At 36.6% G+C, this 14,466-nt stretch overlaps 1 protein-coding gene across 11 annotated transcripts in view; it reads right to left on the bottom strand.

The window, feature by feature from the left end:
* Window positions 1-14,466, bottom strand: part of NDST3 (N-deacetylase and N-sulfotransferase 3) — a 225,313-nt gene that overhangs the window by 38,575 nt on the left and 172,272 nt on the right. Inside the window, exon 7 of one of the 11 annotated variants that reach the window (XM_011532415.4) lies at window positions 6,501-6,982. The exons of the other annotated variants lie outside the window; for them this stretch is intronic. Within the exon in view, the coding sequence (XP_011530717.1) occupies window positions 6,947-6,982 (36 nt within the window). The 3' untranslated portion in view covers window positions 6,501-6,946. Of the gene's footprint in view, window positions 1-6,500; window positions 6,983-14,466 lie in introns of those variants that run through there. 11 annotated transcript variants of the gene reach the window in all.

Raw genomic sequence — 14,466 nt, 5'->3', positions numbered from 1 at the left:
CCACACTGTCTTCCACAATGGTTGAACTAATTTACATTCCTACCAACAGTGTAAAAGTGTTCCTATTTCTCCACAACCTCACCAGTGTGAGATGGTATCTCATTATGGTTTTGATTTGCATTTCTCTAATGATCAGTGATGTTGAGCTTTTTTTTGTATGTTCGTTGGCCACATAAAAGTTTTCTTTTGAGAAGTGTCTGTTCATATCCTTTGCCAATTTTTTGATGATGATGTTTGTTTTTTCCTTGTAGATTTGTTTAAATTCCTTGTAGTGGATTTACTGCAAAAATTTTCTTGCATTCTGTAGGTTGCCTGTTCACTCTGATGATAGTTTCTTTTGCTGTGCAGAAGCTCTTTAGTTTAATTATAATCCCATTTGTCAATTTTGGCTTTTGTTGCCATTGCTTTTGGTGTTTTAGTCATGAAGTCTTTGCTCATGCCTGTGTCCTGAGTGGTATTGCCTAGGTTTTCTTCTAGGGTTTTTATGGTTTTGGATTTTACACTTAAGTCTTTAATCGATCTTTAGTTTTGTATAAGGTATAAGGAAGGAGTCCAGTTTCTGTTTTCTGCATATGGCTAGCCAGTTTTTCCAGCACCATTTATTAAATAGAGAATCCTTTCCCCATTGTTTGTTTTTGTCAGTTGTGTTGATAATCAGATGGTTGTAGATGTATGGTGTTATTTCTGAGGTCGCTGTTCTGTTCCATTGGTCTATATGTCTGTTTTGGTACTAGTACCGTGCTGTTTTGTTACTGTGGCCTTGTAATGTAGTTTGCAGTCAGGTAGCGTGATGCCTCCAGCATTGTTCTTTTTGCTTAGGATTGTCTTGGCTATATGGGCTCTTTTTTGGTTCCATATGAAATTTTAATTCATTTCTTTTTCTAATTCTGTGAAGAATGTCAATAGTAGTTTGAAGGGAATAGCATTGAATCTATAAATTACTTTGGGCAGTATGGCCATTTTAATGATATTGATTCTTCCTATCCATGAGGATGGAATGTTTTTCCATTTGCTGGTGTCCCCTCTGATTTCCTTGAGTAGTGGTTTGTAGTACTCCTTGAAGAGGGTCCTTTGTTGTAAGTTGTATTCCTAGGTATTTTATTCTCTTTGTAGCAATTGTGAATGGGAGTTCATTCATGATTTGGCTCTCTGCTTGTCTATTGTTGATGTATAGGATTGCTTCTGATTTTTTTGCACATTGATTTTGTATCCTGAGACTTTGCTGAAGTTACTTATCAGCTTAACGAGTTTGGAGCTGAGACGATGGGGTTTTCTAAGTATAGAATCATGCCATCTACAAACAGAGACAATTTGACTTCCTCTCTTCCTATCTGAATACCCTTTATTTCTTTCTATTGGCTGATTGCCTTGGGCCGAACTTCCAATACTATGTTGAATAGCAGTGGTGAAAGAGGCCATCCTTGTCTTGAGCCAGTTTTCAAGGAAATGCTTCTAGCTTTTGCCCATTCAGTATGATATTGGCTGTGGGTTTGTCATAAATAGCTCTCATTATTTTGAGGTATAGTCCATAAATACCTCATTTATTGGGAGTTTTTAACATAAAGGGATGTTGAATTTTATTGAAGGCCTTTTCTGCATCTATTGAGATAATCATGTGGTTTTTGTCATTGGTTCTGTTTATGTGATGGATTACATTTATTGATTTTCATATGTTGAACCAGCCTTGAATCCCAGGGATGAAGCCAACTTGATTGTGGTGGATAAGCTTTTTGATGTGCTGCTGGATCTGGTTTGTCAGTATTTTACTGAGGATTTTCATGTCGATGTTCATCAGGGATATTGGCTTGAAGTTTTCTTTTTTTGTTTTGTCTCTGCCAAGTTTTGGTATCGGGATGATGCTGATCTTATAAAATGAGTTAGGGAGGAGTCCCTTCTTTTCAATTGTTTGGAATAGTTTCAGAAGGAAAGATACCAGCTCCTCTTTTTACCTCTGGTAGAATTCGGCTGTGTATCTGGTCTTGGGCTTTTTTTTGGTTGGTAGGCTATTAATTACTGCCTCAATTTCAGAACTTGTTATTGGTTTATTCAGGGATTCGTCTTCTTCCTGGTTTAGTCTTGGGAGGGTATATGTGTCCAGGAATTTATCCATTTCTTGTAGATTTTCTAGTTTATTTGTGTAGAGGTGTTTATAGTATTCTCTGATGATAGTTTTTATTTCTGTGGGGTCAGTGGTGATATCTCCTTTATCATTTTTTATTGTGTCTATTTGTCAATCTTGTTTTTTACCAAAGCAAAATTTTTCATTTCTCCATGTACCTCTCAGATGCATGTTAACTTATGAGTTCTCTATTTAAAAGGCTGCCTTTCACATTCACTTTTGCTTTATTTCATGACGTTTTAAGGGCTATGTGGCAAAGGAAGAGTGTACTGTAATTTACTTCATGTTCTTCTTTCTCCTTGACTTAGATCCCCAGACCAGAAACACTCTTTACAGAAAAAGTAAGGAAACCAGTTTATTTTTATATAGGGCAATGAACAAACTCCAGAAGTTTCATTTTTATCATCGTGGAAAATGTATGAGTTCCATCACTCTCAAGATTGTACTCCATCACATGAGCACGTCTCATTCTGAAAAATAAGTATAAAATTCTGAGCAGAAAGGATATTCTAATGATGCTCTGGGCCTGAACTTCCTATACTATAATTCCCTGGCTCGGGCCCTCTCATAAGTGCCTCATTAGCTTTTGAGTTGAATAAAGTTCAGTGTGTCAACCTAAGGCACTACATGGTCCCAGTTTATCTTTCCAGTCTTCCCTTCTGTACCCCTTCTGTGCTCAGGGCAAACCAGCCAACTTGTCTTGGTTGTTGATCTACAATATTCCTTGGACTTGCCTCTCCACGGCTTCGTTTATACGGTTTCTTCTCTCTGTAAATACGCTGCCTCACTTTGCTACTTAGCTCAATTTTATGTATTCAAGAGTGTCATGTCCACTGTTTCATATCTCTCAAGGCAAATGCAATGTTTTTAAAAATGCAAGCCCTAGAGCCCCTAGTTTTGTCTTTCTGACATTTTCTTATCCTGGCTTGTTTTGTGCTTTTTAAACATACTTGTTTTATTCATCTCTAGATTGTAAGTTCCTTGGGGGCTGGCATGGGCCTTTCAACTTTATTCTCTGAACTGTCTGTAATATATTGTATGTGCTTTGAGCTGGCTCCAGTAATCTTATTTGTAAAGCTGAAAAATTCTAGGGTCAGTTATTTTTTCAATGCCACTCATTCTGGTAATCTTTTAGCACCATTAAAATTGTGGGCCTCCTCAATGATTTATTCTTGTCTCCTCTAACTTTATCTCCATTCACTGTGTACTCTTCTTTCTGAACTCTGCTTCTCTAGTCTCCACTTATTTTCTTACTGTCCATTTCCCTCTGTTTTCCGTGAAACCTTACTCCTTTTTAAATAAACTATATCTTTATGTCTTTGCCTTTGGCCTGTACAGTGATTAAGAAAGAGGGCTCCACCACCTACTGGCTCTACAGTCTTAGCAAGTTATTTAAACTCTCAGTACTTTAATTTACTTGTTTAAAAGAAAACAAAAAGGATATAATAATAGTAATTACCTCACAGGGTTGTCATTACAATTAAATGTAAAGTTAAAAAAATTTTAATACACTGCCTGCCACATAGTAATTGCTTAATAATGAAGAGCTATTTATTATTGTTGATATATTATTGTTATTTTGGAGAAACATCATTTCTTATTTACAATTTCTTTCTAGCAGCTCACCAGCCTTATCAGGACAGCCTTCCAACCTCTTAACCCTCTTATTTTTTTCCTGCATCAATCAATGTGCTTCTGATCACTTCTTCTACCAGGCAAGATTCTATCTGCAATGGTTTGAACTTCTCTGCTACGATTACCCTCAGATTCCCAAATCATCTTTCTGCTTTCAATGCTCTGCAAATATGAGACTTTGGGCCAGTTCTTCCATTTAATTAGTTCACTTCCACATATGGACTCTTCAGCACAGTTAGAGAACAAACACACAATAGGAGCTATTCATAGCGCATAAGCATATGGTCCCCAATCTCAATGGAATCCTTAGTACTACTGGATATTCTTCTTATTTATTCATTGTCACCTTGCTCTTCTGTTCCCTTCAGCAGCTATTTTAAACTTTCATCCCTCTCTGGAGGCCTTCTGTTCAGTTTCCACTCTCCCTACTTTCCCTAATCATCCCCTAATTAACAGGGAGTGCTGGTCATCAGGCAGGAACTCTTTCAAGTCCTTCTTTCTACACATTTGTCTTTTAAAAATTCCTCCTGACACCTGGAGTGTCAAGCAAAGGTGTTCCATTTTGTTGTCAAGACTAATATATCCCCCAGTGCTTTTCATCGCATCTACTTTCAACTCCCATGTGATCTTAGTCTATCACATATTCCTCTGTTTTCCTCTATTTTCAGTCCTCTCCACTGGTCCTTCCCTCATACCCGAAAACATATTTCAATCTCTCTCATCTTAGGCTCTCTCTTGAGATTTTATCTTTTCTAGCCACTGTCCTACCCAGCCAAGTTCTTCAAAGGAACAGTACTCAGGTGCTGACTTTACTCCTCACCTCCATTCATGTTTCAGCCATTTGTGACTTGGGTTTTGTCCCCACCATCCCATGAAAAATGCCTTCCAAAAGGTAAGCAATAGCCTCGTAGCTACATATGGATACTTGGTAGTCATTGGGTTAACCAATCTACTCCATTGAACATGGTTGACCACACTTAAAATTTTATTCTTCCTTGGCTTTTTTGACACTGTTTTCTCCTAGTTCTCCTCTATCTATATTTTTCACTGATTCTTCCTTCTCCACATTACCTTTAGATAGCTAGTGTTTTTCAGGGTTTTGTTTTTTACATGCTGTCTCTAGGTGGAATCACCACAATGATCCCCAGATCTCAAACTACCATTCCTATCTTTCTCCTAAATTTTATACTTAAATGTCTAGTTGACATTTTTATCTGAATGTGCCATAGCCATCTCACTTTAAACATGGCTAAATTGAGCTCTTTATGTGCTTGTAATAGAGTGTAAGTAAGCTCCAGGAGAGCAGGGACCTCATCTGCTTCATCACTGCTAGTTTCCTAGCACCTAACCAGCTAAATAATAACTAGCACATGGTAGATGCTCAATAAATAATATTTGAATGAATGAATCTTTACAGACAGATCTGGTCTTCCTTTTGTATTCCTTATTTTCCCTAAGGTTACTACTGTTCCTATGGTTATCAAGCCAAAAAACTGAGGGCATTCCAGACACTTACCAGATCCTCATTTCTTATTGAACTGGACTTGTTTTGTCAATGCACTCTCTTTTATAACTCCAACGGATCCTCTCTATCCCTATTTGCACTTGCCTGGTTTAATCTTTCATTGAATCTTACCTGGGTTCTTTAAAAGCTTTCTAACTGGTCTTCCTCCTTCCAGAACTGTGTTCCTCTAATCTATCCTCTAGAACAATGCTGTCCAGTAGATACATACTGTGAGTCATGTGTATAATTTAAAATATATGTTTAGTAGCCACATTATGAAAAATAATAATAATTGAATAAAATCAATTTAAATAATATACTTAATTTAACCCAATGTACACAAAAATGTCATTTCAGCATGTAATCAACATAAAAATTATTAATGAGTTATTTCTCATTTTTAAATATGAAGTCTTCAAAATCTGGTGTGGTGTTTTATATTTACAGTACATCTCAATTAGGATTAGCCACATTTCAAGAATTCAATTCACATGTGGCTGGTGCAGCTGTAGAGTCTGTACCTTAATGCTTCAAGAGTCCATCATGATAATGCCCCTACCTTCTTCTTCATCTTCATATTTTCCCACTTACTTGCTTTTACTTTCCATTCCAGTGTGCATGACAGCATACATTGGTAGATGTTTTTTATTCTACCTGGAATACCTTCCTGTCTCTTTACCTACCATTGCTTTTCCAGTTTGAGGTGACTACTTCCTCTTTGTATCTCCACTGCTCTTTCATAACAACTATTAGGATTAGTTGTTTTGACTTGTTATACGTTCCTCTTGCTAAACTGTGAGCTCATCAAGAGCAGGGATCAGGTTGTACTCTTTATTATATCTACAGTCATGTGTATGGTTCATTAAAGAAATGTTTGTTAAACTTAATTTAATTACATAATAGGCTACTGAAAAGTATTTGTTGAATTGAAGTCTATATCATAAGTGATCTTTTTGCTTTTAAAAATTATACAGTCAAGGTAAAAAACAGAAAATGTCAAAAAAGAAAAAAATTCTGAATTGTTTTCATATTTAAAAATCTTATATATAGGATTTATATAAAAAAGTATATATTATAAATTATGTATAAATTATTTTTATATAAAATTTTGTATGTGTATGTTAATGTATGGTATAACTTGATGCATAGTGTTTGCTGCTTAGCAATATATCTTTAGCATTTTATACATTGTTAAAAATACTTTAAAATGTGTATATATATATATATTTAATGGCTAAATAGTAATTTATCTTATTAATTATCACAATGTCCTTAGTCAGTTTTCTACTCTTGGTCCTTTAGTTTGCTCATAATTTTTATTGTTGTAAACAACACTGGATTGGTCATCATCATTGATACATCTTAGTTGGTATCTGACTATATTCCTGGGAAAAATTTTTAGAAGTGGATGAAATTGCAGGTTCCAACCGAATGCATATTTTAAAGGCTAGTATCTTATTGTGCCACCTGTCTTGGGTTCAGCACACTGGCTCAGTGCCCTGGGCTTTATTCCTGTTCACCTGGGGCATGAATAAGAACAAATCATAAAGGAAGAGCAGTCTACTGGAGTTCATGAATGGTGACAATTTATGTTCGAGCTGTGAGAAAAATTGTCCTCTTCATGTCAAATCACTGCTTTTCATTTTGCATGATTCTTGCTGGCTGGGAAGCATTATTTGGAAATTGTGTTAGCTTTGACGATTTAGCTTGCAATCAATAATGAACTGCAGATGAAAAAGAAACCAAATGTGAAGAGACTAATAAGGAAGGTAGAAAAATAGTCTTTCATCAGACTATAGGGGAGCAAATGTTAGCTTTAACAGCTCCAGATGAATTACATGTGAGGATTCAATGAGATAATACATGCTAAAAGTTCAATATAGTGTCTGACAACATAGTTAAGTACCCAAGAAATACATGTTACCTGAGATTGGGTAAAATATGATATTTTGACTTGTCTTGAAATTCTTGCACCCAAGGCTAACCTGTTATAATTATTTGATCTATTCTGAGGAAGGCATGTGAGTATACTTATACTTTGGAGCTCATTTGGTTCTTTCCTCATGTATAGAAAAAATAAGTCAGCCATTCAGAAAACCCTTCATCCTTTTTTAAAAAATGTCCAAATCAGGTAGACTTTAAAGGTGTAGGATTGTTCTGCTGCAAATGGTCATAGCATACTCTTGATGCTATGTTGTATGATATTATCAAACATTATATTGGATATAATAATTTCTTATTTATTTATAAAAGAATGAATGAAAAACAAGGCCTTGCTTTGCCACCCAGGCTGGAGTGCAACGTCTCCATCACAGCTCACTGCAGCCTCAGCCTCCTGGGCTCAATTTACCAATCCATCTTAGCCTCACCAGTAGCTGGGACCACAGGTGCATACAGCCATGCCTGGCTAATTATTGTATTTTTTTGTAGAAATGGGGTTTCGCCATGTTGCTCAGGCTGGTCTCAAACTTCTGGGCTGCTCAAGCTCTCTGCCCACCTTGCCCCCACTAAGTGATGGGATTACAGGCATGAGGCCTGGCCTTTCTCTACTTTTAATCCAGACTGTAGCTGCCTCTATCTGCTTTATTTATAAAAAACAATTAATAAAATGCACATTGTGGCATGTTTTTTCATCAGGTCATCATACAAATTCCAAATGCTTTATTTGCATTGTGAACCCAACTAACTGTATCCCTCTTCTAATTAGATCCAAAAAGATGCCCGCTGCTATTCCAACCCTACCTGTCCTAAGGGGATGTTTGATACAAGGGAAAGTGGAATGGAAAGAAACAGTGGTCCCAAACAAGCTGTGGAAGGGGTCCATAAAAGTGAGGGGCTTTGAGTCGTTGCCTTCTGAAGTTTCTCACTAAGCCCTCTTCTGGGATGTGGGCAAGCCTGAGGGAAGAGAAGGAGTTCCTCAAGGGGACTCCTTGACACAGGCACATCGTTCACTTTACTTGCAGTGTATTATAGTACATGGCAGTTTATGAGAGCCTAGTTACACAGATTTACGGACTGTACTTTCTAGCTTTAATTAGGCTAACCATCACAAAAAGTCCAAGCGCCTTAAAAAGATTATAAGAAACCATGGTTCATAGTGAATGCTGTTAATAATAATGAAAGCACAAGTGAAGGAAAGGAAAGTGCCAGAGCCAACCCCTGTGCTCCTTCTAGTCTGAACCCTTGTCAGCCCCTAATGCGATGAAAACAGTGATGATATAATCACATTTAACAATAGTAGGCTCCCAAATTTCAAAAGTTTGAAGAAGAGTATTTGAAATATGGATTTACATCTGTTAATCATAATGTGAGGCTACTGTGATTAGCAAGACATTTAAAAATCTTTTTATTTCATTCTTAGAAATTTTATATTTCTATGTATATTCATGGTATAAAAATCTGAATATAAAATGAATGAAATAATCTTAAAAATAATTATGTAGCTCATATGTTAAATAATTAGGATTCATGGGATATTATTACTAAAGCAATCTTACTTCTTTTTCCCACTGTCCCTTTAAAATTTGTTCAGTATGGGTAGTTTTCCCTTGCAGAATGGCCTCCCTAATCTCTTAGGTGACAGAAAGTTGCCATGTAGCTTTAAGTCTTGATTTAGTAGTTTAAATCTTTTGGTTCAAAGAACAATAAAAATTCCAAACTTGTTGCAATATTAAATCTGCTCCTCTCATCCTCCTGAGACCTGGTGCAGGAGAGAATTTGCAAGAGAGGCTGGGAAGAAAGTCTGATCAATGCTCTGTTCTCCAGTGGGTGATTTTACTCTACTTGCTTACTGAGGTTTCTGATCCCTTAGTATCTGGGACATGGAGATGAAGGAGTGAAAAGGATGCAGGGAATTATTACTCAACTGATACTGTCATATGCATATGTTTAAAATCATCTGAGATCTTTGGAGTCATCACTTCTGGGCCCCATCAGTACAACTTCCTTTGGTAGCCAGTGACTCCCCTAGTCTTTTATCAGGAACCCTCTTGAGCAGGGTCCCCCCGCTTTTTTTTTTTTTTTTTTTGAGATGGAGTCTCACTTTGTCACCAGGCTGGAGTGCAGTGGTGCAATCTAGGCTCACTGCAACCTCTGCCTCCCGGGTTCAAGTGATTCTCCTACCTCAGCCTTCTGAGTAGCTGGGACTACAGGAGCGTGCCACCACACCCAGCTAATTTTTGTATTTTTAGTAGAGACGGGGTTTCACCATGTTGGCCAGGATGGTCTCAATCTCTTGACCTCGTGATCCACCTGCCTTGGCCTCCCAAAGTGCTGAGATTACAGGTGTGAAACACCGTGCCCGGCCCAGCAGGGTCCCTTTTAAAAGGATCCTAGGCTAATATTCCTTTTAAGAGTTGCACATTTGGGCCCTGGGATTTGGGAGCCTTTGATCTGTCTTTGGAAAAAAGGGCACATAATTCTTATATGTGGTTATTTCTTCTTCTGATACCACTTTAGCCAATCTCTCTCTCATACTTTGGATTTATTAGTTGTAAGGCAGACAACAACCTACTGTGTCCCCCTCCTGCAGGAAACACCTCTTAAGCTCTCTGATGGTCTCAGTGACCCTCAAGCCAGAGCTCAGCTGAGCAGCAGAGCAGGCAATGACCCCTCTGTTCTCCCGTGGATAGAGGGTGGTGGGATCATGCTCAACACACAGCACAACTCTTTCCAAAAATCCTCCCCACAAATCCTCCTTAATTTCCAGGAACTTGACATTTTTATTCTGGGTGTGGGTAGGTGTTAGAAATTTTGGCATGTTTGTCCCTCTCACAGCTCATTTTGGTGTCTATTATCTTTCATGTTTTTGTGTAATTACAATGGTCTTATGCTAAAAATTTCTTTCACTTTATCACCTTCTCCAGGGGGAGACAAAAGATGTCACCTTAATTTCTAAGGTTTAAATTCACTGAGTACTGTTTTTCTACCTGGCTCGTGCCTTAGTCATCACTTAAGAATCTCAAAGGAAAGCTCAATTGCAGAATACTTTGGCAAAGGGTTCTTAACATTTAGAATTTGGGATCTGATAGGCTTTAAAGGAAAGTTGGAAGGGTAAATCAATTGCTCTCAATTAGAGACAGGTTTCAAAGGTACAGTGATGAGGTCAATGTAATTTAAAGCAATTTAGCTTGGAGCAGTTTGTCTTTTTTATAACATTTATGTCTCTCACATAATTTTTCTGGCTATACTTTCAGAACTGCAAGTTCAGCCCTTTTATTACGAGCTAAAGATTGATGATCAATTAACATTTCTGTTAGGTGTCAAAAGTAATTCTATTGGTTTAATGCATTGCTATTACTTTAGCTGCTGAACAAATATTTACATGTCATGAGAACATCTCCAGTTCTCAGATCACCAATTTTCGATTAATTTTGAATTGTGTATCTTGCTCATGCTGTTCTAATGTTCTTTCTGTATTATTCTGAAAGACCCCATTGCAGTTAGTTAGAGGCCAGACAACAGCTGTTCTTCTTCCTTTAGTGTTAGAAAGTGACAGAATAATGAATACAGTTACTTCTTATGATAGATTTAAAAATGATTAATTAATAGACATCCTTTTTTAAGCAGCAGCATAGCACAAAGGTTATATTAATTTTGCAATGAAAACATCTTTATTTTCCAGCAGGAAGCATTTTGCTTCTTTGTTTTAAATCACTCCCTCCACAATATAATAGATATAGGAAGAGCATTAAATTAAACATCTCTAAATGTGTTTAACTTCAAAAACTTTCCAGAAAATTGACCTACATGAAAATTTGATTTTGGCTCATATGTGAATGAATTAAATTTAGGTAATCACAAAGATCAGCTTCACTACTAAGAGGTTTCAATTAACTATATTTGCTCATAAGGCTGAATTCACTCTGGGGGGAGAGGGTTATCAAAATACCAAACAAATATATTTATTTTGTGATTTAAAAATGCTGGGTTTGAAAAAGCTAGTGATTAATTGTTGTTAAGTTTCTAAATATTCAAACATTTACAGTTTTAAAAAATTTATTTATTTTAAGACAGCCCCTCTAATGAAGGGGTTTGTGAAGTGTTGACAAATTTTGAGAGTACTAATTTGGTTCAGAAACCCAGTTCTTTAAGTAGAGAGTAAAGACTCAAAGGACAAAAAGAACAATGCTAAAGAATGAACACTTGCTAAGTATTAACAAAGTCACCCATGAACTGTTCCTTTATTAGAGAGAATATACTAGGGCTTGACTGGGCCTATGCAAGCCACATCTGTTTTGATTGAAATAAGAAATTTTAAGAAGTAAAGTTTGTCACAAAGATAACCTCAGTGAAGTAGTTTTCCCAGGGCTTTGCAGGGATGAGAAGACTGACCCAGATACAAGAGTCAGCTAAGGTACTGTATAAAGACTTAATTAAAAGCAAAATACCTAGAAAGGCATCTCTGCAGAGATGGGGGAAAGACCAGAAATATAAAAAATTTCAAACCTTTATGAGTCAGCACTAGAGGACACCTACTGCCAAAGCTGCTGGCATCTGGAGGGCTGTTTCAGCTGCAGTGAGAATAATACCCTGATAGAAGTTTCTAACTCTGGGGATAAAAGGTGAGAAGTTCATAAAAGACTGTAACTAAACCATGTATCTATTAAAAATTTTGCAGTGGTAGATTCACATTTGGTGTATTATTTTTTGTTATTGCTTTAAATTATAACTCCCTTAAATAACTTATTGATAGATAAATCAATCTATAAGTTAATACTGTTATGTAGTAAAGGGTTATACTTTCTGAAAGTAAATTATCTTAGGAACTAGCTAAATCAGCTTGTTAAAAAGAACTAGGGTTTATAAATGTTTCCTTTCTAAAAATGTTAACCCTTCCACATAATAGTAAGTACCCAGAACTGCACATAAGAGGCACAAGGAGACTTAATGAGGTTATGAAATCTGAACCATAGATTCAATCTTGACTAAATGTCAAAATTTCATACTGACTTAAAGAAAATTTTCTAAAAATCTTTGCTTGAATATTATTATCAGAATCAGGCAAGCCTCGGATATGTTAGAATTTTGAAAGAATTACACGGATTTTAATAAATGGTTTCATTAAACACTAATGTCTAGGGAATATTTCCTGCTGAATAAGAAAATTCACCTTGTTAGGGAAGGTACATGGGTAACTGGTGAGGGAGGAAGAGGGCACTTCCAGCTGTGAAGGCAATTGTCTATACTTGTCTAAATATCTATGCCATTGGAGCTTTAGATAAAACTTTGAAAGAAGTTTTTTGTTTTTACTGTGTCATCACTTGTGTGACTTTGGGTGAAACAATAAATCTCCAAGCATTTTGGTGCCTGTTTGGCAAAATTGGGATGACAATTATATTCTGCAAACATGATTTCTTAAATTTTCTTTCTGCTTAAAGCACGCAAATCTACACTCATCTGCTTCATGCCATAACATGGCATAATACTATTCAATACTAGGCTTTCTACAAATTTCTGTTCTTCTAAGTCCATATTCTTTCTTTATAAATTTTCCCCCACTATCAACTTCTAATAAGTTATCTCTCCAATATTATAGGTACCACTTTGACTTTAGGCCTTATTTCTTTTAATATTTATTTTGGATTCAACAAGAAGCCACAGATATAATTTGTGTGTGTGTGTGTGTGTGTGTGTGTGTGTGTGTGTGTGTGTGTATTCTTCCAGAATTTTCTTTTATTTTTAAAACACAGATGGAAGCAAATGGTACACAATTTAATATATTAATTTTTAAAAATTTAATACATCTTAGAGATTGTTTTAATCAGTACATAAGGGACTTCCCCATTCTTATTATATATATATATGCTGTAATTCTGTTACTGTGAATGTGCTGTAAGTTATTCAAGTTCTTATTAAGGTTTTATGCTATTATGAATAACTTGGTATATGCATCACTTCACTCATTCGAAAATATATCTGAGGATAAATTCTTAGAAGTGGAATGGCTAAGGAAAATGGTATGTGCGTTTGTAATGTTGGTAGAGATTGCCAAGTTGCCTGTCATAGAGATTGTACTGACTTACATTACCACTAGTAATGTGTGAGAGTTAGTCTTTGTTACTTTTTGCTTGAACCACTCTAATAACTTTCTAAATGACCTCCTCACTTTTGTTTCTCCCAGCACTAATATATCCCAAATGCTAACACAGAGAAATCCTCCTAAAACAAAAGTCCTTTGCTTAGGAAATATCAGTAACTCCTATTTTCCATCAAATTAAACTTCTTAACCTGGTGCTCAGAATCCTTGACAAAACAGGCCTATATTCATTCTTGAGTTTTATCTTCTACCACATACACCCTATATTCCAGATAAATTGAATCATTCCTTGTTCTATGCTGTGCTTTAGGCCTGAAACAGTTTCCTCTGTACAGAATGCTTCTCTACATATGTCTTTCAGTCTAAATCCTATCAACTTTCAAGGACCATCTCAAATATTACCCACCTAAAGGTCCAAATAGGTTAGCCTTTAGGCTTATGTTCTTTGTTTTGCTAATTAATAGTGTACACTCAGAATAAATAAATACTTCTATTATAATAACTGGATTTTGGTTTAGATATAATTCAAATCTTCTTCGTTATGTAGTTGCCCAGTTCACAGATGACAGGAAGGAAAGCATGAAAAGGGGATGAATGTGGGTGGGTGTTGGGTGTTGTGGGTGTTGTAGAGGGTAGTGGCAAGAGACACATATCTATTGAAAGCCCAACTTTGGGAGGCCGAGGTGGGCGGATCACGAGGTCAGGAGATCGAGACCATCCTGGCTAACACGGTGAAACCCTGTCTCTACTAAAAATACAAAAAATTAGCTGGGCGTGGTGGCGGGCTTCTGTAATCCCAGCTACTCGGGAGGCTGAGGCAGGAGAAGGGTGTGAACCTGGGAGGCGGAGCTTGCAGTGAGCCGAGATCGCGGCACTGCACTCCAGCCTGGGTGACAGAGCGAGACTCCGTCTCAAAAAAAAAAAAAAAAAAGAAAGCCCGATAGGTGGCCAGTACTGTATATTTGTACTGTCATCACCTATAAGAAGAACCTTATGGAGGTGGATATTATCATCTCCACTTTACAGTCAGACAAGCCATATAACTAGTAAAGAGTTGATCAGGATTTAATCTCAGGTCTATCTGGATGCAAAGCCTAGACTCTCACATTGTACTACATTGACTTATCTGGCAGAGAATAGCAGCAAGAAATGACTAATATCTTGAACTCT

The sequence above is a fragment of the Homo sapiens genome, chromosome 4, assembly GCF_000001405.40.
Source record: "Homo sapiens chromosome 4, GRCh38.p14 Primary Assembly".
NCBI lineage: Eukaryota > Metazoa > Chordata > Mammalia > Primates > Hominidae > Homo > Homo sapiens.
This window is presented reverse-complemented; position numbering and strand designations above follow the sequence as displayed.